Below are 27,370 nucleotides of genomic sequence, written 5' to 3' on the forward strand. Positions count from 1 at the left end.
CAAGGTGGGCGGATCATGAGGTCAAGAGATCGAGACCATCCTGGCCAACATGGTAAAACCCCGTCTCTACTAAAAATACAAAAATTAGCTGGACGTGGTGGTGCACACCTGTAGTCCCAGCTACTTGGGAGGCTGAGGCAGGAGAATCGCTTGAACCTGGGAGGCGGAGGTTGCAGTGAGCTGAGATCGCGCCACTGCACTACAGCCTGGCGACAGAGCAAGACTCCGTCTCAAACAAAAAAGAAAAAAAAAAGAAATTTTAAGTATTCCTCCCAAGATCATAAAGGTGCCTGAGCTACATTGCTCAGAAAATCTGAATCCTTAGCCCAAGACCAAAACTATTATACTTTCCTAATATGCACAGAATGTTTGTCCACAGAGCAAGCTCAGGGACGGAGAACTGTAATGAAACTCATGCCCTAAGTCTCTAAATTACTCTTTTAATTTCTAGGCATCAAAGGTATGTTTTCCCACCTAGGAATGAGAACAGCCCTCAGGCAGGCTGATGGAAGCCTTCAGGCATAGCAGAAGGACAGCCGGCAGAGCTGACCCTTGGGAACAGCTGGAGAAGAAAATGGCCCCAGCATGTGATGAGGGCGATTAGTTACCTCTGGAGGGACACATCTGCCCCACTTTTCTCTGAATTCTACAAAAGGAAGATCCTTTCCTCCCTATCTGGTGGTTTTCTTCCTTGCTGAACCTCCAACATTTTGAAATTGGTACAGTGCCTTATTCTAACTGGTATAAAAATGGATACTTCAAGAGGCCATTCATCCATTCATTTATAATCTGCAACAAATATTCTTGAGTTCCTATTTTGTACTAGACACTACTTTTCTCTTGGGATAAATGAAGGTAAGAAAACAGAAACAGTTCCTGCCTCCAATGAGCATACAGTCCAGTAAGAGAGAGAGAGAGTCCTCAAATAAAGAGTAAAACGTAAAATCATTCCTAATGGTGCTACAAAGGAGAAACAAATAAGGCCAAAGAAACTATAACAGGGGGATTTGACCTGGAGGGGCATCTGAAGGTTTCCCTGAGTGAGAAATGCGTACATGTAGTCCAAAGGATGAGAAGGAGTTAATGAGCAAAGAAAGGAGGAAGAGTGTTTCAGGCAGAGCAGAATGTACAAAGTCCCAGTAGAGAGAGAAGCATGACAAGTAAACAGGTCTAAAAGGCAATTGCTGTGGCTGGTGCACAGAGAATGGGGGAAGTGGGGAAGGTACAGCAGGTTTGCAATTAGAGACACGAGCATGGACCAGCCCATGCAGGCCTTGTAGCCCACCTTAAGGAATCCAGTCATTCTCCTACAAGTGCCAGGAAGCCATTTAAAGGCCAGCTATGTGTGGTGAGCAGGGGTGGGGTAGGCAGGCAGGTCTTTGCAGATCTGGGCTTTGGAAAAATGAGGATCTGGGCCGCAGAAAAGATTAGAGTCTGAGTGCATCTACAGTGATCAAAAGGAGGTGACTTTGGTAATACAGGCAAGATGTGATCATGTCCTGGGCTGAAATACGGTGAAACGGTCGGAATTGAGAGCTACTGAGAAGTAAAACTGACATTTTCAGTGGGGGTGGGAGGAAGGGGAAGGAAAAGGAAGTGTTAAGGATAATGCCTACATTTCTGGCATCTTCTACAGAGACTATGGCTCTTCAAAATTCCAAAGACTTACATCCCCTCTGACAGAAGTTATTCTCAGGTGCCAATTTCATAACTAGCTTGATCTAGTGGCACTTCTGAAGGACAGTTTTCTTTTCTGTGTATTTTGGCTGCTATCTGAATTCTCTTTGAAATAAATTTCGGTTTGTATACTTTTAAAAAATAAATTATTTAAAAATATACATATATTTCCAACACCCCTGCTACTTTTATTCATAAAAAGCAAATAGATAGATAGATAGATAGATAGATAGATAGATAGATAGATAGATAGTATATATCAAGTTCCTAGACAATTCTTAAATTGACACTTTCAATCCTCTTTGCTTAAAAACATAGCAATTACATTGATGGCATCTGCCCAGGATCCTGTGAACAGACTCAAAATAACAGCACACAAGGTAAATATGATAGAGGAAAATAAAGATCAAGTCAATCTTCTTACCTAAATTGGAGTCACAAAAATATCATCCTAAATAACAATGAATGGAAAAAAACCCAACATTCTGATGAAGTCTTTAAGAAAATGTTAATCCCTGCCTGAATAAACAGGAGAAATGCATTTAAAAATTTAGCATAGAAGGGAGGCAAGGGGAGAAGTGCCATTAGGAAAGTTGTATTTTCCTGAAGCTGCAGCACCTGTACTCTGTATTATATATTTTCTGACACTTTAGTCTGAACAACACTCGTTTTAGCAGGGTCCACACAAATGTGCTAAATACTTATAATAACAAAATAAATGTCTTTATAGAGGAGGGACTTATTTCAGGAATAAAAAAACCTCTGGGGATAATTCTGGCCATGTCAAAGGAGTAACTGTGGGCTGGTGGAAAATTCAATATGCAGAAAGTCAATCCCAGTTTTCCCATTGGGTCCCCGTGTCCCAGTTTGTACATTCAAACTGTCCGGAGTCCTCATGGTAAGATGGCGTGACTGATAAAGCTCAAACTGTAAACAGGACATGTCCCATCCAGCCAGGGTCACCATCTCTCATGTCACTTCATCCTGATGGCCTCCTTTCAGTGTGGCCCGAGTGCACTCTGCCTGCTGAACCCTGACTCCAGTGCTACGTAGTTTCATGATCTTGGGAAAGGGTCTTCATTCATTTGGCAAATATTTATTGAGCACCTACCATGAGCAAGGAGGTCATCTAGGGGCTTTGGATAAACTGGGAAACAAAACAAAGTGACTGGTCTTGTGGGGTTTACATTCTAGTTGAAGTGTGCAGGAAGAGAAAGGCAATATAAAGAAACATAAGTGAGTAGATGCAGGGAATTTTTTAAAATGGGAAGTGCTGTGGAAAGAGATCAGTGTCACGGGCTTGTCATGTGGCAGAAGACAGAGGAGGCACTGCAATATGAAAGCAGAGCAAATAACAGAGGTCTTCACTAAGAAAGTGACATATAAGCAAAAACACAAAAGAGGTGAAGGAGTGAATGGCAGGTGTCGGGGGAACAGCATTCCAGGGAAAGTCTGGAGGCACAGCCACCAAGTGGCTGCAAGACACAGCACAGAGGATGATAGGAGCCAGGTTGTGTTGGGCTTTGCAGGCTGTGGTGAGGACTCTGGTTTCTCCTGAGACAAAGAATCACTGGAGGGTTTCTTGACTTCTTAGAGCTCTGGTGTCCTTACCTGTCACATGCAGATAAGAAGGGCACCTCAGAACTGCACAAAGCAATTGTGTGTGTTGATGTGACCACGTGAGCACTGAGTGCTTGGCAAGTATTGTCATTAATATCAGTTCCTGCCCCCCTCCTGACACATTTCTCAACCTGCCCCTCCAACCCTGCCATCTACAACTGGTCAAAATGAAATGCAGCTTCACGTCCTGCCTCCTCCAAATACAAGAAAATATACTAGTTCACAGTGATCAGAGGCTCTCTCTCTCTCTCTCTCTCTCCCTCTCCTGAACTTCTGTATCACTTGCTGCATGTGCCCTTATTTGACATTTACACACACACACACCCAAACACAGAGGATTATGGAGGAGTGATGTGACCTGGGATTAGATAACAGAGATCAGTGATGGGGCCTGTCCTAACCAGAGAGCATGTGCTCACAGGAAGTGGCAGCATCCGGCCTCCCATTTATCTTCTCTCCTCAATTTCAGCTTGAGGGTCATTCCAGGAAAAAATGTATACAGTATCCCATGCATTTAAAACAAACTAACACACTCTAGTCAGATACTCATATGGTACTTAATTTCACATCTTTTCCATTGCTTTTCTTAGCAACCTAGTTCATGAATTCTGGATGACTAGCCCCAGAACTTTTAAATCCACTAATTTTGATTAATTTAATTTCTGCATTAAAGAAGTTTCTCTCCATCAGGGCTTCTAGATGCATCTTTCCTCTCCGTAACCTTATTGCTCCTGGTTTTTGCATGATATCCTGTGTGAATGGGTTTGGTTTCATTGTGCCTATTTTTTTACAGAATCCTTTCAGAAGAACGTGGGATACAAATGATAACCAATATTAATCGAGTTAGCTCCTCCATCTACATCCCCCTTTCTGAAAACTGGCCCTGCCCCAACAGGGGCTCCTGTACGCATATTTGTGGAGGATGGGCCTTCTCCCACTCTCTGGACAGATGAGTCACTAGGGTCAGACATATGACTCAGGAAGAGCTGTTCCACTGAATACCAGGCTGGGCCAGAGTCTCCCATTTCCCAAGAGTCTGGTATTGGACAAAGTGATTTTTCTCAGCCTAGTCTCCCTCATGCTAGAATAGACTGGGGGATATTATGTAGATATAGAAAGTAGAAAAGAGACCCAGAGTAGCTTATGTTCCTGACTGCTTCCAGCTTCTTATCCCGGGACCTGTGGTTGCACTCCTTATGCTGGGTTCCATGCAATCCCCTGGGCTCCTATTTTAAGTAAGCGCCTCTCATCTTAGCTAAAGCTACTTTGGGGGCATTCTGTTACATGCAGCCAAAAGCATTCTGCTATGGTTTGAGCACGGTTTGTCTGCCCTCACCAAAATGAATGTTGAAATTTGATCCCCAATGTGGTGGTGTCAGAAGGTGGGGCTTAGTGGGAGGTGTTTGGGTCATGGGGGCAGAGCTCTCATGAATGGCTTGCAGCTGTTCTAGAGGTAACTGAACACTTGTATTAACAGTAGTGAGTTCTTGCTCTCCTGAGACTGGATTAGTTCTCTGGGAATGAATTATTTCCCACAAGAGTTGGTTGGCATTAAGTGAGATTCCTTCTCCTGTTTGATCCCTCTTTGCACGTGTCTGTCTCCCCTTTGTGCATCTCACCATGTTATGATGCAGCATGGAAGCCCTTGCCAGAAACCAGGGCCATGCCCTTGAACTTCCCAGCCTGCAGAACCATGAGCTAAGTAAATGTCTCTTCTTTATAAATCACCCAGTCTCGGGTATTCTATTGTAGCAACACCACAAAACAGATTAAGACTGGTCCTAAGACATAAATAAGAGACCAGATCAATTGCTTTCATGCTTTAATCCTGTGACAAGCTTACAGTAAGCTACAAGATATGCAAAACAGGCATGAGACTGATGGTGCTCAGAGACTAATCATGCTCTGGCAGAGGGAAATTTCTTTCCAAATAATTGAATGGAGATACCAGTTGTTCTGAACTACTGGGCAAGATGTTGTTACTTGCTGTGTAAGGAATATATAATTCAGCCACACATCCACTTGCAGGAAAGAGCTGTCTGCTGCTTGCTTGTTGAACTATGGAAGCAGAATGATATGGCTAAAATCCACAGAATGGTTCCTGAAAAACACCACATAGCAGAGCCTGGGAAAGGGGTGAGGCAGGGGAGGAGGTCTATTTGGAGGTATCCAAGCATTTTTGGAACTGTGTTCTCTGTTTTCCCAGAGGATGAAAGGGCTCTTTGCCTTTGAACTTGCACTACACCAGGAGAAGGCCAGGCACCCCTTGAAGAAATGTCTACAATCCAGGGACAGTCTTGTTTGCAAACTCTTTTGTTAGGGTTTGGAACTTGACATTTTGGCAAGGACTAGTCATCTGAGATGGGGAGGGGAGAGAAGGGAGGGCTGTGCAAGCAATCAAACTGATACTCTTCTTGGAAATTACCCAAGCAATGCAGGCACGTAAAAGGGAAAGTGAGGGATGAGCCATCCTCTTTTGGATGGAAACATGGAGGCTGCAAGTTTACAGCCCACTAATCTTTGCTTGTCTCAGTAAAAGAAAGGCTTGCACTATTCCATCTGTAACTCCCTGATTAGATAAATCCAAGGCTGAAAAACATACCAGAGAAATGTTCTGAAGGCTGAGAAAGACTGAGGAATAACTCAAGCACTTCAAATCAGAGGCATGAGAAGTAAGTTATCTATAGACAAACATCAGCCTTTGTAGGAATAAACTGCGGTTTGCATTAGACAGCTGAGTTATAAGCTCTCTCTAATGGTAGCTTCGAAAGTTTAATACTGTCAGATGCACACTGTTTTTATGTTGAAACATCTTGACTTTTTTTTTTTTTTTTTTAACTTTTCCTAGGCTCAAGTGATCCTCCCCCCTTTAGCCTCCAAAAGTGCTGGGATTACAGGCGTGAGCCACACCACACCCAGTCTATCCTGACATTTAAAAACAAGGTATGATAAAGGTTAATGCAAATAAAAACCAAAATAGAATTATTCTTTAAGGTAAAAGTAGGATTATATCATTCAACTTATTTAATGAATATCTTCAGTATATACCAGCCACCATGCTAGGTGCCAGGGATAGAAGGGTGAAAAAGAAAATGAATGATATCTTTTCTTAAAGAGCTAATGGTCTGGTGGGAGTGGGTGGGAGATACATAAATAAAATGACAACTCAATTACAGAAATGGAGCATTCCCAGAGATGCACATGGGTTGCCACAGAAACTATGAGATCACTGCAGGGGTCAGAGGAAGCTTCCTAGGAAGTGACACTTGAACTGTATTTTAAAGAGACGGCGATAGAAAGACTATCTCCTGTAGAGGCAACAGCTTATCCAAAAGGATCAAAGCCTGAAACAGCATCTCCCTTCAGGAACCTGCAAGTGGTTCCAGGGCTGGAGCAGAGAGAGCCAGACAAGGCACTAGGCAGGCTATGGTCCCGCACCAGTGGTAGCACCAGGGAACTTGTCAGAAATGCAAATTCTGAGGCAGCTCGAGACCTACTACATCAGAAACTCTGGGGGCAGGGCCCAGCAAGTTCTGTCTTCTTAACAAGCCCTGCAGGTAATTGTGACATGTGTTGAAGTTTGAGAACCTCTGGGCTAGAAGGGTTAAGGCCTGATCAGCATAGCTGTATGTGTTATGGGTACCAAGGGACCAGCAAGCCATGGGAAGCCAACCAAGGATTTTAAGCAAAACAAGTTATCAGATTTGCATTTCAGAAACATCTTTCCAGCACAGTACAAAGAATGAATTGAAGAGAGATGAGACTGCAGGTAGCAAGACAAATTGGGAGGCTACTAATTTGGTGAGAATGACATCAGCTGAAAAAGGAAGAGGCAGCCGCAGCAAGATGGAGACAGCAGATGAAAAGGCAGAGACTCTATGGACTCAGTGGCAGGAAGCAGCAGGGTACAAGGTTAAAATTATGGGCCTTTAGGTCCAGGTGCAATGGCTCAGTCTGTAGTCCCAGCACTTTGGGAGGCCAATGTGGGAGGATTGCTTGAGTCCAGGAGTTTGAGACCAGCCTGGGCAACACAGTGAATATAAAAAATAAATATGAAAATAAAATTAAAAAGATTAGCCGGGCATGGTGGTATGTGTCTGTGGTCACAGCTACTTGGGAGGCTGAGTGGGAGGATCGCTTGAGCCCAGGAGTTCAAGGTTACATTGAGGTATGATCACGTCACTGCATTCTAGCCTGAGTGAGACAGTGAGTCTGTTAGAAAGGAAAGGAAAGGAAAAACAAGAGGAAAGGCAAGGAAAAAAATGAATGGATGAAGGGGAATGTCCTGGGAGGTGAAGAAAAGAGTGCAGTCTAAGAAAACGTCCCAGTTTTTAGCTTAAACAACTTGGCAGGCTTTTGGTGTCATTTACAAAGTTAGGAATACTAGAAGTGGAGAATATTTGGAGAGAAATATCAGTTTTAGATTTCAGTTTTAGGCGTTATTACCAAGACAGATGTCAGACACTGATGTGGAAAGATTCTGACTCTTGCACAAGGAAATCTGGGGGCTGGACAGCAGTTGGCTCTAGAGTCAAACTTAGCTTAGCATTCAGGTTCCACCATTACTGGCTGTGTGACCTCAGACAAGTAATTTAACTTGTCAGTCCTCTACTTCTTCCTCTACAAAACACAGAGACAAGTGGAATCTATCTCGTGGGGTCATTGGGAAGACTAAATGAGATAACGCATGTGCTCAAATAACGTGCTTAAAGTGTGTGGCACATGAAAAGGTGCCTGGCATATGCCTGGCTCAATAAATAACTGACTGTGGTTATCATTAAGGCTACATATAGTCTGGAGGAAAGAGGATCAAGGCATTGTCTTAGAGAGCATGAAGATGTATGGGGCAGTGTACAGAGGGGACCAAAAGGGGAGATTCAGAAGAATTAGATAAAAGGGCAGCAGGAAACCAAGAAAGAGGTGCCACCAAAGCCCATAGAGCAATTACACATTAAGTAGGGGAAGGGGCCAGCTCTACTAAGCAAAGGGGTGGCAACAGTGGAGACTGTTTGTGTTCCGTTAAGTGAAAATTAAAACATAGAGCAACAAGAAAGCATTAAAAAAGTAACTTCCCTCAACTCAAATGAGTCCAGCATGACCACCAGACACTGGGCATTGTGTGGCTAGGTAAGATGAGTTGGGAGGCACGGAAACTGCCAAAAAGGAACTCAGGACTGGCCTGGGGGCACCTCTGTAATATCTGGAAATATCCGTTACCTTACGTAGGAGACAAAAGGGAGGCAGTGTTACACAATGTGTTCCAAAGACCATCAGACGGGGAGTCAGGAGCCCCCAGGTGTAGTGGCGAGCTGCAGAGTAACTGTGTGTGACCTTGGTCAAGTCACTGAATGATAGTCTCCTCAAGTGTAAATGGGTAATAACACCTGCTGCAATGTCACAAGACTGTGACTGTCAAACACAGGGAAGACATTTGGAAAAGAATATGTTGCATAGATACAGGATAAATTAAAATACCACCTTTTATCCATTTCTTAAAATAACAGAGATATAACGCTGCAGTTATGGCTGTGTCATCTGGTACCTGCACTGCCTTTAGAAGGCAGCACAGATTAGCCATTCATGGAATCGGTACTTATCTGGTGCCTATTTCCAGAAGAGTTTGTGTGGGGAGACAATTCTCACATCTACACTTTTTTGGGGGGCAGGGTGGGGGGGATAGAGTCTCGCTCTGTCGCCCAGGCTGGAGTGCAGTGGCGCAATCTCGGCTCACTGCAACCTCCACCTCCCCGGTTCAAGCGATTCTCCTGCCTCAGCCTCCTGAGTAGCTGGGATTACAGGTGCGTGCCACCACGCCTGGCTAATTTTTGTATTTTTAGTAGAGACAGGGTTTCACCATGTTGGTCAGGCGGGTCTTGAACTCCTGACTTCGTGATCCACCTGCCTCGGCTTCCCAAAGCACTGAGATTACAGGTGTGAGCCACCTTATCAGCAAGGCACTGACATTACAAGTGAGTCCTTCGTTACTATCTTTTCAAGAAAATTTGAACAGCAGATAGCCTTGAAAGATTCAGTGTTTCTTTACAGAGCAAGGGTCAGGGAGACTTACTGCCCATTATAAAAGATCGGAGTTCCCTAAGTTCAGGGTTCCTCTCCTAGAATACAACTCACTATGTATCACCTGGCCCTCTCTGCACCACCCTGTAAGAATTAGGGCTCAGGGAAAGTGTACAAAAATATTGATCCTCTGGTTCCTGGCATTGCTGTGATTAATAAAGTCCTATGTGTCTGCCCCAGCAGTGTGATGCCTTCTGCCAGGATTTGTGACACTGTGGCAGGATAACTTGTTTGCTGGCATGCAGGGTGAAATCTCAGACCCTTCACAGTCCTTGACACTCAGTGTTATTGTTCCACAGAAGAGTTTGGTGTCTTAGATTGTTCTCCAGCCCCCTGGCTTGCTTCAGCTTGCCCTGTGGGATGTCAGCACCATCAGAGCTGAGGAGGCTGCTGAGATATTAATAGCTATTTTTAAAACACTTATCACAAATGCTCTCTCTATGCCTATATATCTGTGTGTGTTTTTGAATTTTATTTTGTTTTTGTGGGTTCTGTTTTTTTTGTTTGTTTCACTGATGAAATCTTTCTTTTCTAAGAAACACAGGACATTTATACATTTAAAGAGAGGAAAAGTGACTGTTATTAAACAGATGTCTGTGCTACAGTCAATATATCATTCTTTCATTTTAAAGTGTTCTAATTTAACTGTAAATATTAAAAGTTCCTAAGAAATAACTCCATGTTTCAGGTACATTTTAGTAAACATCTTGCCTTTGAAATAATTGAAATGCCAGGAGAATGTAACTTCAAAGCTTCAGACATTGTACAGAATGAGCTGAATGGTGTTTCCTACACTTACACGCTCCCGTGGCCTATGTGCCCAACCCCCACATTAGGCAAATCCACTACAGAAAACTATACTCAGAGTACACTGACTTCTTGTTAGAATTCAGAAAGCTTCTTTAAAATGAAACCTGATTGATAACATTAGCAACAAAGTCATCCAAGAAGTCATCTCTGAGAACCTCAAGTCCACGCTGAAACAGGAAGTGAATTTTCTCCTGGTGGGCCTTTTGAAATAAACGCTCCATCTTAAAAATGCCAGGACCCTTCTTAATAGCTATCATAGAAGTTATACCTCCGATCAAATCAACCATTTACAAAAAGAATGATGACAGGTGCCTTCACTTCAAGCTCTGTTTTCATATTTCCATACCCATGTTTAAAATCCCCTTAATAGTTGCACTGAACTGACGTCATCTTTCTGATGCTTTATAAATTCAATCAAAACCTAAAACATCTTGAGAGATGAATGCAGGATGCATGGGGCATAATCAGGAGATCCCAATCCATTGATTATCATGTGAAAGAAGGCACAGAGGCAATTAGTCCTTTGTTGTGGATGACAAATAACCTCCACATAAAATGTTCTATACACTGAGGCATCTTTGATCCATCTTACTGGCTCAGTGACTCACAAAGGAGGAAGGAGGGGGGATGTCTGAAAACAAAAGGGCAGCCTGACGACACCATTTAGTTATTTATTCTGTATGTTCAGCTCAGTTTTTCCTCTTTCCAACTTTTCATGATACTATAAAAAGAAATGGAATGGATTCCTTTCAACCAAGAACATCAGCACTGCATACTAAGAAGTAAAGTACTGGCTTAACACAGAGCCCACAGAAGCCACCGAATATCATCCTCTCTCCTTAGTTAGGTATTTTTTACAAGGAAAATGGGTTTTGACAAATCATTCTTTTATATGTTCTTTTATATAAGACTTTAATGCACAGACTCTTGGAAATTAATTTACATATAAGACAAACTATTCACAGCTTCAGGAGAGAAGGCTGGGTTCTCAACAAGCACTGCCTTGGAAACTATCCATGTGTGTGCACTCTGGAATTTTCCTTTTCTGTTAGAATTGTTTGGAAGAGTCTCCTGATGAACAACAGCATGAGGGATGTGAATAAGCGTCCCTTATTTCCTCTGGTTTAAAGACATCCATAACTTTTTGTTCTCTGAATAAAAGTGGCATGACATTAAAGTGAGTTGAAGATATAAAAGCATGTGCTAGAGATCAGCAAGCTTCTAAAATGATTTACTAATTCAGATGAATATTAAAAAATCAACATGGAAATAAAAATTATGGTTTTTTTTTGAGACAGAGTCTCCGTCTGTTGCCCAGGCTGGAGTGCAGAGGCGCGTGCTCGGCTCACTGCAACCTCTGCCTCCCGGGTTCAAGTGATTCTTTTGCCTCAGCCTCTTGAATAGCTGGGATTACAGGTGTGCACCACCACACCTGGCTAATTTTTGTATTTTTTAGTAGAGACAAGGTTTCGCCATGTTGGCCAGGCTGGTCAACATGAACTCTTGGCCTCAAGTGATCCACCTGCCTCGGCCTCCCAAAGTGCTGGGATTACAGGCATAAGCCACCGTGCCCAGCTTTTATCTTTAAAAATTAAGAGGACTGCTAATTTCCTGAAGTTAAAACAGAAAGTATAAAGGGACCATACAAATTATAAATAGTGACACAGCCAAATGAGCCTGACCTCTGATGACAAACCTTGGTTCAAATCTGGGCCCCAGCATTTAATGGATGTGGCCTGGGCAAGCTGACACTCTCAATTTTCTCTCCCATAAATACAGACTATTGCCTAGCATTCACATAGCATTGATATGAGGATCAATGAGTTAAGGTATGTGTTTTATGTATAGTAGGCACTCAATAAACACACTATTATTGCCATTAAAAGTGTAATTAAAAAGTCTCTTACCTAAGCACAATATAAGGTCACTTTTCAGATAACAAAAAGAAACTATCACATCATCTGTGCATTATTCAGTTAATCTAGCAGATTTGTATCAGAACCGAAATAGCATATACTATGGGGAAAAAAGATTGCAAAGAGGACCTAAAATCCTTTTTTCCTTTTGCAAGAAACTTCTTTTCATTTTTGATACAAGATTTCATTTAAAGCTGTTTAACCAGAGAGGGTCGCCATGGGAAAGTAAACCGCTGACAGAATATATTAGGTTCACATTAATTTACAGTGGTAGCATAATGCTTATGAAAAATAAGCTGGCTGGAAGCCCACAGTTTGCCCTTGAGCCTCAGTCAGCAGGGAAGTTTTGTGCAATATGATTAGTAAATGAGGAGACCCTAGGTGATTAATTAGTGCTCCATGTCAATCCTATCAGACAGGCTTTCAGCCAGTAACGTAAATAAGCCACCTGATTTTAAACTTCCTCCTCTTAAAACTGACGTCCATGTGAGCATGACTTTGTCAAACACTTAAATATTGAAGGAAGATTTCCTCCAAATCTCCTTTAAGATAAATCCTGCTTCCTTTGACACACACTTTAGCTCTGGTAAATGGCAGACTAGATGGGAAAGAATCTAAATAAGGAAGCTTGTCTGAGAATTCTGAGTACTGAATTAACAAAACTCATTTCATAAGTCCCTATTAACTGTTCAATGCTCAAAAGAGAAAAATCTGACTATGAATAGATTTACTGCCTACACCTGTGTACCAGTCAGTAACTTTTCCCAGACTTTACTATGCAGTTATGTTTTTAAAAATCTTTTTACTGTGTGTCATTAAATTGTTAATGATCTGTTTTTTATCTATAATTTCCTAGATATTTCTGATATGTATTTTATCAAGGTATTGTCCCAAGAGAGATGTTTCTATGGCCAGGTCTGTTAGTTTACGTAGCTGCACAGTCACTTCTCTGGTATCTATTACTATTTCAGTCAAGCTTCTTAAATTAGATTTAAAAGGGAAAGAAACAGCTTTCCTAAATTAAATCAGTTCCTTTAAATGAGGTTGACCCTTGAGTAGGTAATTTGTGTAAACATAAAATGGGTCCTGCTCTTCCTAAAATCTTATCACTAGGTTCTCAAAACTGGGCTCCAAATGTGAGATGTGGTGTACAGCAGGTCTTCGAGAAATGTCATTTTGTTCAATGTCGTTTCCTTCAGTAACATTGATGAGAGGCCGGGGCCATTGTGCAGAGTTTGCACATTTGCCCCACGTCTGCATGGGTTTTCTTTGGGTACTCTGGTTTCCTCCCACATCCCAAAGATGTGTGCATTAGGTGAACCGAACTGAAGTGTCCACACGGTCCCTGTCTGAGTGAGTGTGGATGTGTGATGGAATGGTGTCCTGTCTAGGGTGGGTCCCTGCCTTGTGCCCTGATATGCCAGGACAGACTCCAGCCACTCTCAACCCTGAACTAAAATCATGGAATCATTGAGTAAATAATTATTTTGTTTTTATTAATCCTTTCTCTTGTTTTCGAGACAGAGTCTTGCTCTGTCCCCCAGGCTGGAGTGCAGTGGTGAGATCTCGGCTCACTGCAACCTCCACCTCCTGAGTTCTGTATATATAGCTCACATTTATTTCAATGTTTAATATTAAAAGTGTTTTGAATCTTTACTTAGTTTGCTGATGTTTTTGTGACCAGAAATATGTCCTAGCAACTTCAACTTTTGTCTGTATCAAGTAGCCTATGGTAAAATTAGATTTCTTATACATACATGTCATTTTGCTTAAAGTCACAGTTTCCAAATAGATGATCTTAAGTGAGGACTTACTGTATCTGTATAATTAAGATATAAGTATTCCATTCTTGTCTGTATACTATTTTCTCATTGTAGATGAAAGGCTCTATATGAATAAAATACTGCATATAAATATACTCACATATAGAATCTACAGATCACCGTGTACATACACAGAAACATCAAAGGTGTCCTAGGCTATAAAGTGCAGGTCTCATAGGCTAAAATCATTAACTGTTACATGCTGCAAAGGTCCAAGGTTTAAAGATATCAGGCTGGGTCTCATCAGAAAGGAGGCTGATTTTTGCTCAAACACCGTTAGAACTGAAAGGAACCTCTGAGGCCCAACAAAGTCAAGTCAGGAAACAGGAAAATTGAGAATCTCCATTTAGAAGCCAGAATACCAATCTCAACCTAATGTCATTCTTTTTCACATACACAAGAAATCCAAGGCAGGCCAGGTGAAAACATCTGAACTAGATAGTAGTCATGGCGAGAGGCAACCCGCTCCCAAGGGTAAACACACAAACTCTAATTCTACGGCTTTCAAATGTCAGCACAAAGGTAAGGAAGCATCCAAGACACCAGGCAATTTCCTAACAAATACCTCTGAGGGCTTCAGTGGGCAGGACATCTTGCTATGTTCACAGGTTGATAAATGATGGCACAATGGAGTTCATGCCCTGATGGTACTTATCATCTCACCATAGAGATAAGTTATGAATCAATAATGAACCTAAATGCCAATTTGCAGTAAATGCCATAAATGAGACTGAGAAAAAATAAGTTCAGAGAAGGCCACCAGATGCCAAGATGAGGGAAGATTTCATGAGGGGGTACAGGTCTCAAGGGGGGTGGAGGATAGAATTCTAAGAAATGGAGATGGAAGGCCTTCTAGACCACTGTTTTTTAAACAGGTTGCAACTTGCTTGATATCACAGTTTAATGGCCATTTTCTTCCTCAATGAAATGGAATAGAATGCTATAGCATGTGGCAAGATAAAGTACTATTTCATGAAGCTTTTTAGCCTCATGTAAATTGTATTGGTTGTTCTGCTTCATGAAAAATGAAGAGTGAGGTTTTGTATTTGGCTGGAAAATAAGAACTCAGTTATGAGGTGATTCCAAGGCAGCATCTAAAACATAGCATCAAAGAATCTGGATTTTGTACTGTTTTTTGCCTTTTTAAAGCTTTATTGACATCGACTGTGCTTAGTATCTCACACACATGATCTCACTTAATTGTAACCACCACTCTTTGAGTTGGGTATTATTACCTCCATTATAGAGGAGGCAAGTGAGAATCAGACAGGTTATATAACCAGCCCATAAAATGAAGCCAGGTCTTTTGAATCCAAAGCTCATAATGTTAAAAAGGACACAAAAGAAAATTATGAAATGATCAGAGCTGGGCTTTAGGAATATTAATCTTGCACCTTCAAAGAGTTACACTGAATAGACATTAGACAACTATATCATTAGAGAGGTTTCTTTTGATCACTCAATTTAGATATAAAATCAATTTAAATACACTCCAAATTCTAGGCAAAAATCACACCCAAACCAAGAGTTAAAACTGCTCTTAACGACCCTAAAAATATTTCAGTGAAGGTTCTTATTTCTCAATAGCTATATTAATATCCCCTTACTTCATTCTGCAGCCATGAAGCTAATGACTTATCATTTGAAAAATGCTTTGAAGAAAATATGAAAATAGGTGGAAATGCAGAACTCTGCCTAAAGCAGAAATGCTAACATAAAAGAAGTAACCCACTGCTTTTCTCAGACTGACTCGCCCCAGCCCTCTGTTCTCACCCCTACGTGCTCTGTCTGATCCTACCTACCTCCGGGAACAACTGTGAGGACTAACGGTGTAATCTATGAAGTGCACAGGGCTCCCTGGAAAAGCATGGCTGTTAAAAGCCCGGATGTCATCACTAGAGGCAGCTGAGAGAACATGCCAACAGTCGACTGCTAATATAAAAATGTAAAAAAGAAATAACAGTAGACGGGATAATGTTGTGTCTAATTTAAAGAGGAAAAAAGAATTCAGAAGTAGCTATTTCTGATGAATATGAAATATCTGGGTATTGAGCAATGAAAGACAAATATTCTTCCTCTCTTTTCTGTTGAAAGCATCCCTCACAACAAGAATCAAAAAAGCTCCTCCACATACCCAGAATAACCCAATTGCCCAACAGGCAGAGAGACCAGAAGGGTAAAGTGTTCCTCTGTCCGGCATATGAGCTGGATAGAGAAATGTACACTAAATACCCTGCAAATCAGAAAAGCCAGCTGTGCACAGGATTATGCTCTTCTTCATACACTCTGAACGATCTATTCAATGGTTATGGACTAATATATGAACTCTCTTTAAAAGAAAAAAGTCATAGATCCTCAAGGTTGACATAAGTTATTATTTATTAAAATATTCCTTAAATATGCAGAAATAGAAGACTGGTATAAAACCCCAAGCAAATTTATATATCAACTAAAAAGAATACTATCAAACCAACAGAACTGAAACTAGCCAAAATAATTAAATGTAACAGATGATTTTTTTTTTTTTTTTTGCTGTCACTAAAACACTGATGTAGGCATCCAGTCTAGTTCTATATTTAATCTGCTTTGGTATTTTAACTTTCACAAATGTTTACATAGAGAATACCTGTTTACATAATTATATTGAACAAAACAGCAAAAAATCTAGAGGACAGACTGGGATGATTAGACCTCATACTTAACCCAAAGTCAGCCATACTTAACCCAGGTGTCACAATAACTCTACAAAGCTCTCTTACTAACTTGAACAGAGTTAGTATCAGAGCATTATTGAAATTTGCATTAAATAGGTGTCTCATTCAATCAGGTAGAAATGAAAAACAGGAACTTTTTTTATTGTACATTTACCAGCTATGCTCACTACTATAAACTATTCTGCAAGGTGTATGTACAAGGGCTAGCTAGACCTGCCCACCACTCTGCTGGAAATGGGGGGAGGGTACTGACTGCTCCCATTTTAGTATGACCATACTGCAAACAGCTTTTCATTTATCTCATTCAGTCTTCACAAAAGGGGAGAGGTACTGTTATTATTCACATTTAACAGGTGAGGAAACAGTTAAGTGACTCACCCAAGGTCACACAGATTGACAGTGGTAGAGCCAGGATGCAAAACAAGGAAGCCTTACTCCAAACTCCAAGCTCTGTACCACAAATGCTTCTTGACCACCGTAAATCCCTGTGTGGCACGCTGTGATACCACATGGCCCCATCCACCCACTGAAAACACACACACAGATGCAGGTCTGCCCTTACATCCAAGCATTCATTTATAATGTGGTTGACCACATGATCCCAAAGATGCTAACACTTCTAACCGCCTACTACATATCTCCATTTGGTTACTACTCATTCAACTAAAGCATGTGCCCTCGAAAATCAATGAAATTAGAGACTTTTCTTTCCAGCTGGAAGGGTGTAGCAAGCCTGATTTGAAAATGATTACAACTGCTTCTACAGGGTAAAAAACTGCCCGAAGTGGGCATTGAGTTTAAACATTATATCCTCGTCATTAATAAAAACAAGAGCTAACATTTATTGCATCCTTACAATGGAACTGGCACAGTTACGAACTTGTGTCATTTCAATAAAGTTTCAGGACAACCACTGAAGTAAACACCATATCGTCACTTTCCAACTGTGGAAACTGAGCTTACGAGACATTAAGTAGCCTGGACTAGAGTTGCTACCTACCTAGTGACTGGGAAAACCCCAATTCAAACCCAGGCATCTGACTCCAGAATCCCGACCACTCCAAATGCAGGATGAGAAGATCTATTGGCAATACAGTTTCTCCTCACTGCGTCTCAGAACTTGGGGATTCAGTTTCATTTAGACTTCTGCAGCCAGTTTAATCTCTAACCTACTCATCTTGTTTGGTTGGTTAAGAGATGTTATACAGCCACAAAATAACACAAGATCTGTAATAATTCAGAATCTTTTGGCTTTGAGACCAAAAACTGCTGTAATCCTAAAAAGAATCACCAATTAAAAACTAAGATTTTGAGTATGTTCAAGTAAAAGAATCTACACTGCCATAGAAGCACAAAACCCAGCTTTGGTCAGAAAGCTAGACCACAGTTTCTGCAGCCTTGACTTCAGACTCTGAGTTCCTTGATGTAGGTGTTGTATCTTGGACATGGCACCTGGCAGGAAAAAGATGGTGAAATGACTGAGCATCAGGCATGGGCCTACTCTGCTGTTGTTCACCAGGCCATCACCTGACTGGGTAGGCAGAAGGGCCTGCACACACATTGCCAGGAGCTAACAAGGTCACTGGGACCAGAGCAAATGAGAGACAGTGAGCACATCCTGAAATGGCCAGAGATGCTCAGGGATGAAATGTCCCCTAGACACTGAGAAAGTGATAATGGTGAACTTTTGTTGCTCATCAGCCTGTGCCAGGAGCTATAGGTGCCTTCTGTACATGACTAACTGTCATCACACTGTGAAGGAGACAATGATATCCCCATCATACAAATGAGGAAACAGGCTCAGAGGCAACACAGCTCTAGAAAGCAGCTTGATTAAGGCCAGGGCTCCCTGAAGCCACAGTGGAAAAGCCACAGCCGTTTCCACTTTCCTAGAGGCACACTCCACCCCACCTGCACTTCGGCCATGAAAGTTGAAACAAAGTGATGGGATGTGCATTGGACTTGGGAATAAGGGAATGGGAGCTAAACTGAGACACAGATATTTAGAATCAACAAAGATTTTAGAGGTTGTCTAGTCTAGTTTTTTCATTTGCAGAGTAAACTAGAGCAGTTATTAGATTCACTTAAGATTACACAACATATACACACATATTATACACACACACACACACACACACATATTTAGAAACAGGATCTTACTCCATTGTCCAGACTGGAATGCAGTGGCAAGACCATAGCTCACTGCTGCCACAAACTCCTGAGCTCAAGCCATCCTCCTGCTTCATCCTCCTGAGTAGCTGGGACTAGGGGCATGTGCCACCATACCCGGCTAAATGTTAAAATTTTTTTAAAAGACGGTCTCACTATGTCGCCCAGGCTGGAGTATAGTGGCATGACCATACCTCACTGCTGCCTCAAACTCCTGGTATTATATAATCTTTCTGCCTCAGCCTTCTGAGTAGCTGGGATTACAGGCACACTTCTCTATTTTTATTTATTCTTTTTTAAATTATACTTTAAGTTCCGGAGTACATGTGCAGAACTTGCAGTTTCATTACATAGGTATACACATGCCATGGTGGTTTGCTGCACCCATCAACCTGTCACCTACATTAGGTATTTCTCCTAATGCTATCCCTCCCCTACCCCCTACCCCACGACAGGCCCCAGTATGTGATGTTCCCTTCCCTGTGTCCGTGTGTTCTCCTTGTTCAACTCCCACTTATGAGTGAGAACATGCAGTGTTTGGTTTTCTGTTCTTGTGATAGTTTGCTGAGAAAGAGGATTTCCAGCTTCATCCATGTCCCTGCAAAGGACATGAACTCATCCTTTTTTATGGCTGCATAGCATTCCATAGTGTATATGTGCCACATTTTCTTCATCCAGTCTATCACTGATGGACATTTGGGTTGGTTCCAAGTCTTTGCTATTGTGAATAGTGCTGCAATAAACATACATACATGTGTCTTTATAGAATGATTTATAATCCTTTGGGTATATACCCAGTAATGGCACTGTTGGGTCAAATGGTATTTCTAGTTCTAGATCCTTGAGGAATCGCCACACTGTCTTCCACAGTAGTTGAACTAATTTACACTCCCACCAACAGTGTAAAAGCATTCCTGTTTCTCCACATCCTCTCCAGCATCTGTTGTTTCCTGACTTTTTAATGATCGCCATTCTAACTGGTGTGAGATGGTATCTCATTGTGGTTTTGATTTGTGGTCTAATGACCAATAATGATGAGCTTTTTTTCATATGTTTGTTGGCTGCATAAATGTCTTCTTTTGAGAAGTGTCTGTTCATATCCTTTGCCCACGTTTTGATGGGGTTGTTTTTTTCTTGTAAATTTGTTTATGTTCTTTGTAGATTCTGGATGTTAGCCCTTTGTCAGATGGACAGATTGCAAAAATTTTCTCCCACCTTGTAGGTTGCCTGTTCACTCTGATGATAGTTTCTTTCGCTGTGCAGAAGCTCTTTAGTTTAATTAGATCCCATTTGTCTATTTTGGCTTTTGTTGCCATTGCTTTTAGTGTTTTAGTCAGGAAGTCTTTGCCCATGCCTATGTCCTGAATGGTACTGCCCAGGTTTTCTTCTAGGATTTTTATGGTTCCATATGAAGTTTAAAGTAGTTTTTTCCAATTCTGTGAAGAAAGTCATTGGTAGCTTGATGGGGATAGCATTGAATCTATAATTACCTTGGGCAGTATGGCCATTTTGACAATATTGATTCATCCTATCCATCAGCATGGAATGTCTTTGCATTTGTTTGTGTCCTCTCTTATTTCCTTGAGCAGTGGTTTGTAGTTCTCCTTGAAGAGGTCCTTCACATCCCTTGTAAGTTGGATTCCTAGGTATTTTATTCTCTTTGAAGCAATTGTGAATGGGAGTTCACTCATGATTTGGCTCTCTGTTTGTCTGTTATTGGTGTATAGCAATGCTTGTGATTTTTGTACATTGATTTTGTATTCTGAGACTTTGCTGAAGTTGCTTATCAACTTAAGGAGATTTTGGGCTGAGACGATGGGGTTTTCTAAATATCTGTCATCTGAAAACAGGGACAATTTGACTTCCTCTCTTCCTAATTGAATAACCTTTATTTTTATTTCTTTCTCTTGCCTGAGTGCCCTGGCCAGAACTTCCAATACTATGTTGAATAGGAGTGGTGAGAGAGGGCATCCCTGTCTTGTGCCAGTTTTCAAAGGGAATGCTTCCAGTGTTTCCTCATTCAGTATGATATTGGCTGTGGGTTTGTCATAAATAGCTCTTATTATTTTGAGATATGTTCCATTGATACCTAGTTTATTGAGTTTTTAGCATGAAGGAGTGTTGAATTTTGTCAAAGGCCTTTTCTGCATCTATTGAGATAATCATGCGGTTTTTGTCACTGGTTCTGTTTATGTGATGGATTATGTTTATTGATTTGTGTATGTTGAACCAGCCTTGCATCCCAGGGATGAAGCTGACTTCATCGTGGTGGATAAGCTTTTTCATGTGCTGCTGGATTCTGTTTGCCAGTATTTTATTGAGGATTTCTGCATCAATGTTCATCAGAGATATTGGCCTGAAATTTTCCTTTTTTGTGGTGTCTCTGCCAGGTTTTGGTAACAGGATGATGCTAGCCTCATAAAATGAGTTAGGGAGGATTCCCTCTTTTTCTATAGTTTGGAATAGTTTCAGAAGGAATGGTATCATCTCCTGTTTGTACCTCTGGTAGAATTCGGCTGTGAATCCATCTGGTCCTGGACATTTTGTTGGTAGGCTATTAATTACTGCCTCAATTTCAGAACTTGTTATTGGTCTATTCAGGGATTCAACTTCTTCCTGGTTTAGACTTGTGGGGGGTGTTATGTGTCCAGGATTTATCCATTATTACAGGTTTTCTCATTTATTTGCATAGAGGTGTTTATAGTATTCTCTGATGGTAGTCTGTACTTCTGCGGGATTGGTGGTGATATCCCCTATATCTTTTTTTTTTTTTTTTTTTTTTCTTGAGACAGAGTTTTGCTCTGTCGCCCAGGCTGGGGTGCAGTGGCGCGATCTTGGCTCACTGCAAGCTCTGCCTCCCGGGTTCACACTATTCTCCTGCCTCAGCCTCCCAAGTAGCTGGGACTACAGGCACCCGCCACCAAGCCTGGCTAATTTTTTGTATTTTTAGTAGAGACAGGGTTTCACCATGTTAGCCAGGATGGTCTCGATCGCCTGACCTCGTGATCCGCCCGCCTCGGCCTCCCAAAGTGCTGGGATTACAGGTGTGAGCCACAGCACCCGGCCCCCTATATCATTTTTTATTGCATCTATTTGATTCTTCTCTCTTTTCTTCTTTATTAGTCTGGCTAGTGGTCTATCCATTTTGTTGATCTTAAAAAAAAAAAAAAAAAAAAAAACCAGCTCCTGGATTCATTGATTTTTTTGAAGAGTTTTTCGTGTCTCTATCTCCTTCAGTTCTGCTCTGATCTTAGTTATTTCTTGTCTTCTGCTAGCTTTTGAATTTGTTTGCTGTGCTTCTCTAGTTCTTTTAATTTTGTTGTTAGGATGTCAATTTTAGATCTTTCCTGCTTTCTCTTGTGGGCATTTAGTGCTATAAATTTCCCTCTGCACACTGCTTTAAATGTGTCCCAGAGAGTCTGGTATGTTGTGTCTTTGTTCTCATTGGTTTCAAAGAACATCTTTATTTCTGCTTTAATTTCGTTATGTACCCTGTAGTCATTCAGGACCAGGTTGTTCAGTTTCCATGTAGTTGTGTGGTTTTCAGTGAGTTTCTTAAGCCTGAGTTCTAATTTGACTGCACTGTGGTCTGACAGACTGTTTGTTGTGATTTTCATTCTTTAGCATTTGCTGAGGAGTGTTTTACTTCCAATTATGTGGTCAATTTTAGAATAAGTGTGATGAGTTGCTGAGAAGAATGTATATTCTGTTGATTTAGGGTGGAGAGTTCTGTAGATGTCTATTAGGTCCGCTTGGTCCAGAGCTGAGTTCAAGTCCTGAATATCCTTGTTAATTTTCTGTCTCATTGATCTGTCTAATATTGACAGTGGGGTGTTAAAGTCTCCAACTATTATTGTGTGGGAGTCTAATCCTCTTTGTAGGTCTCTAAGAACTTGCTTTATGAATCTGGGTGCTCCTGTATTGGATGCATATATATTTAGGATAGTTAGCTCTTCTTGCTGCATCGATCCCTTTATCACTATGTAATGCCCTTCTTTTCTCTTTTGATCTTTGTTGGTTTAAAGTCTTTTTTATCAGAGGTTAGGATTGCAACTCCTGTTTTTTGTTTGTTTGTTTGGTTTTGGCTTTCCATTTGCTTGGTAAATATTCCTCCATCCCTTTATTTTGAGCCTATGTGTGTCTTTGCATGTGAGTTGGATCTCCTGAATAGAGCACACTGATGGGTCTTGACTCTTTATCCAATTTGCCAGTCTGTGTCTTTTAATTGGGGCATTTAGCATGTTTACATTTAAGGTTAATATTGTTATGTGTGAATTTGATCCTGTCATTATGATGCTAGCTGGTTATTTTGCCTGGTAGTTGATGCAGTTTCTTTATAACATCAATGGTCTTTACAATTTGGTATGTTTTTGCAGTGGCTGGTACCGGCTGTTCCTGTCCATGTTTAGTGCTTCCTTCAGGAGCTCCTGTAAGGCACGCCTGGTGGTGACAAAATCTCTCAGCATTTGCTTGTCTGTAAAGGATTTTATTTCTCCTTCGCTTATGAAGCTTAGTTTGGCTGGATATGAAATTCTGGGTTGAAAATTCTTTTCTTTAAGAATGTTGAGTATTGGCCCCCACTCTCTTCTGGCTTGTAGGGTTTCTGCAGAGAGATCCACTGTTAGTCTGATGGGCTTCCCTTTGTGGGTAACCTGACCTTTCTCTATGGCTGCCCTTAACATTTTTTCCTTCATTTCAACCTTGGTGAATCTGAAGATTATGTGTCTTGGGATTGCTCTTCTCAAGGAGTATCTTTGTGGTGTTCTCTGTATTTCCTGAATTTGAATGTTGGTCTGTCTTGCTAATTTGGGGAAGTTCTCCTGGATAATATCCTGGAGAGTGTTTTCCAACTTGGTTCCATTCTCCTTGTCACTTTCAGGTACACCAATCAAACACAGATTTGGTCTTTTCACATAGTCCCATATTTGTTGGAGGCTTTGCTCGTTCCTTTTTATTCTTTTTTCTCTAATCTTGTCTTCTTTCTTTATTTCATTAAGTTGATCTTCAATCATTGCTATCCTTTCTTTTGCTTGATTGATTCGGCTGTTGATACTTGTATATGCTTCACGAAGTTCTTGTGCTGTTTTTTCAGTGCCATCAGGTCATGTATGTTCTTCTTTAAACTGGTTATTCTAGTTAGCAATTCGTCTAACCTTTTTTCAAGGTTCTTAGCTTCCTTGCATTGGGTTAGAGCATGCTCGTTTAGCTCAAGTCTGTTATTACCCACCTTCTGAAGCCTACTTCTGTCAATTCGTCAAACTCATTCTCCATCCAGTTTTGTTCCCTTGCTGGTGAGGAGTTGTAATCCCTTGGAGGAGAAGAGGTGTTCTTGTTTTTGGTATTTTCAGCCTTTTTCAGCTGGTTTCTCCCCATCTTTGTGGATTTATCCATCTTTGGTCTTTAATGTTGGTGACCTTCAGATGGGGTCTTTAAGCAGATGTGCTATTCCTTTCTGTTTGTTAGTTTTCCTTTTGGCAGTCAGGCCCTTCTGCTGCCGGTCTGCTGGAGTTTGCTAGAGATCCACTCTCAGCCCTGTTTGCCTGGGTATCACCAGCGGAAGCAAAGATTCCTGCCTGATCTTTCCTCAGGAAGCTTTGTCCCAGAGGAGCACCTGCCAGATGCCAGCCAGAGCTCTCCTGTATGAGGTGTCCGTCGGCCCCTACTGGGAGGTGTCTCCCAGATACACAGGGGTCAGGGACCCACTTGAGGAGGCAGGCTGACCCTCAGCAGAGCTCAAACACTGTGCTGGGAGGTCCGCTGCTCTCTTCAGAGCTGTCAGGCAGGGACATTTAAGTCTGCTGAAGCTGCGCCCATAGCCACCCCTTTCCCCGGGTGCTCTGTCCCAGGGAGATGGAGGTTTTATCTATAAGTCCCTGACTGGGGCTGCTACCTTTTTGTCAGAGATCCTCTGCCCAGAGAAAAGAAATCTGGCGGTCTGGCCCCAGCAGCCTTTCTGAGCTGCAGTGGGCTCTGCCCAGTTCGAACTTCCCAGTGCCTTTGTTTAAACTGTGAATGTAAAACCACCTACTCAAGCCTCAGCAATGGCGGACGCCCCTCCCCCGACCAAGCTCTAGTGCCCCAGGTGGAGCTCAGACTGCTGCCGTGCTGGCAGCGAGGATTTCAAGCCAGTGGATCTTAGTTTGCTGGGCTCTGTGGGGGTGGGACCCGCCGAGCCAGACCACTTGGATCCCTGGCTTCAGCACCCCTTTCCAGGAGAGTGAATGGTTGTCTCGTTGGCGTTCCAGGTGCTACTGGGGTATGGAAAAAAAGAACTCCTGCAGCTAGTTCGGCGTCTGCCCAAATGGCCACCCAGATTTGTGCTTGAAACCCAGGGCCCTGGTGGGGTGGGCACCGGAGGGAATCTCCTGGTTTGTGGGTTGCGAAGACTGTGGAACAAGCGCAGTATCTATGCCGGAGTTCCTCAGGCTCAGTCCCTCACGGCTTCCTTTGGCTAGAGGACGAAATTCCGCGACCCCTTGCGCTTCCCGGGTGAGGTGACGCCCCACCCTGCTTCGGCTTGCCCTCTGTGGGCTGCACCCGCTGTCCAACCAGTCCCAGTGAGATGAACCGGGCACCTCAGTTGGAGATGCAGAAATCACCCGCCTTCTGAGTCGATCTCGCTGGGAGCTACAGACCGGAGCTGTTCCTATTCGGCCATCTTGCCAGCCAGAAGCCACTTTTCTATTTTTAACTAGAATTACTGAACCCTGACAATGTGCCAGAAACAGCCCTAGTACCTTTAAATATGCTAATTTTCATAACACCCTCATTAGGCAAGTGCCCCATTTTACAGATGAGGACTCTAAGGTGTAATGAGCTTAGGTAATTCACTGAAGATCTTTCTGCTGGCAAATCCCATGCTCTCAACATGTGCCTCACCGCCCTCCCAGAGAGCTACTTCAAGAGCTGATGCTCAGGCCTCCAGTATTTGCTGTCTGCATTAGGAGGTGGCAAGGGCCTGGCACAGAGGTCTGCGACAAGCCAAGCTAGGCCATGGCTTCCATCCACACCCCTCTGCACCTAAATGCATTGATCCTACAATGAAGAGCTGGCAAGGTCATCCTGGTTTTGCTCCATTTTCTCTGTGGCATTGTCATTTGAGGTGCTGCTCATGGTAGGTGGTGGGGTTCACCTTCTTCCATGCTGAGCTAGGCTGGACACATTCCAGCCGACAGCAGGACAAAGAGGGTGATGTGACCACCTATGAGGGGCTCAGCCCCATGCTCTGTGATCACGGCCTGGGGACTTTGGCACCTGAGGTGCTGGATGGTGTCACTACTGGGCACAGTTTTCCCTGCATCAGCAGCAATAGGGGAATACGTGCACACAGGAAGGCTCAGGTTCCCCAAACTCATATAGCATCTGGACTAAAAGGAAGGATTTGTACAGGGCTCTAGAGGTTAACTGTCAGTTATGTAGTTGCTCCACTTTAGAACAATGACTTTGGACACTTTAGGGCATAGCCAAAGAGCAAAGCAGTTACTTTGTGGCTGTTCTGCCTGCTCCTCACTCTTGGCCATCAGTAAGTCTGGCTTAGGATGGAGAAATCCAAGGGTCTCCTCTGGCTGAGGGAGGCAGGTCCAGAAAGCCACACACCAGCAGTACCAGTTCACTACATCAGCTCCTTAGTCCACAAAAAGGTCCACAGGATGGACAGGGACAGAGGCCAACAGCCACCCCGCCACCAGAGCAGGGCCATTCCTCTGACATCTAAGAGTCACATCCATATGACTACTGCAACCTGTGGCTCAAAGTCAGCTGAAAAATGGTTATACACATTAAGTTAGAGCCATTTTGTGAAAACTAATTCAGTTTTCTTCCCGTTGCTTGGTACATACACACTATTCAGTGAAATATTAGCTTTTATTCAAGGCATGACATAGGAATTCCTTCAAAATTAATATTTTATGCTATACTTTGTATCAGTTTATACTGAAATATTTATCAACATGTCCTGTGACTGCCTGTGCAGGAATTTATTCAAATTTATTCCATTTTGCTGTTTGTTGTATACTGATTTTCACTGATAAATTTCCTTTGACTGTAGGTACTGTAGAAGAATTCACTCAAATTTATTTGATATTACAGTTTGCTTCTGCATTACCTTTATTCATCAAAATATCATACAGGTATGTGCTTTTCAAAAAAAGCTCTGCCGTGTCTGATATGAAAACGTCCCCTATCTATAAATGCCTGTATTACCTACTACTTATTTACCCACAAGTTTCCTCTGTTATCTGTAACAGTTGGGGGTGGGAGGCTGGGGAATGCTACTGCTTGTCCAGATGTTATGATCTCCTTCTGGATCTCTGTACCCTGTATTTGCATAAACAAAATGCTTCTCCCCCTCACCCCCACCAAAAAAAAAAAAAACCAAAAAACCTTTTATGTTACTTTCAATGCTTGTATGTTTGAAGTAGTCAAATCTTTTTCCTCAAATAATTATTTGTAAAAATTAGAATATCATTTACAAATCTCTGTTTCTTATTTGCATCTAAAAGCAGAATAAGGAGGTCCAGGAGCCATGAGCTTCTCCCAGGTTTCAGCCTGGACCAAATCCTAAACT

The 27,370-nt window shown here is 42.1% G+C and overlaps 1 protein-coding gene across 7 annotated transcripts in view, besides 2 other annotated features; it reads right to left on the reverse strand.

The window, feature by feature from the left end:
• Nucleotides 1–27,370, reverse strand: part of TSPAN5 (tetraspanin 5) — a 188,245-nt gene that overhangs the window by 41,613 nt on the left and 119,262 nt on the right. The window lies entirely within an intron of this gene.
• Nucleotides 6,869–6,948: an enhancer, noted in NCBI's record as "active region_21734". NCBI's record gives its function as "activates an Ori minimal core promoter by ATAC-STARR-seq in GM12878 lymphoblastoid cells {active_cell/tissue: GM12878}" and the evidence as "EXISTENCE:reporter gene assay evidence [ECO:0000049][PMID:35858748]".
• Nucleotides 24,389–24,902: an enhancer, noted in NCBI's record as "H3K4me1 hESC enhancer chr4:99457519-99458032 (GRCh37/hg19 assembly coordinates)". NCBI's record gives its function as "activates a minimal SCP1, AML or CMV promoter by ChIP-STARR-seq in primed H9 embryonic stem cells {active_cell/tissue: H9 hESC(primed)}" and the evidence as "EXISTENCE:reporter gene assay evidence [ECO:0000049][PMID:30033119]".

Source organism: Homo sapiens, chromosome 4, assembly GCF_000001405.40.
Source record: "Homo sapiens chromosome 4, GRCh38.p14 Primary Assembly".
Taxonomy (NCBI): Eukaryota; Metazoa; Chordata; class Mammalia; order Primates; family Hominidae; genus Homo; species Homo sapiens.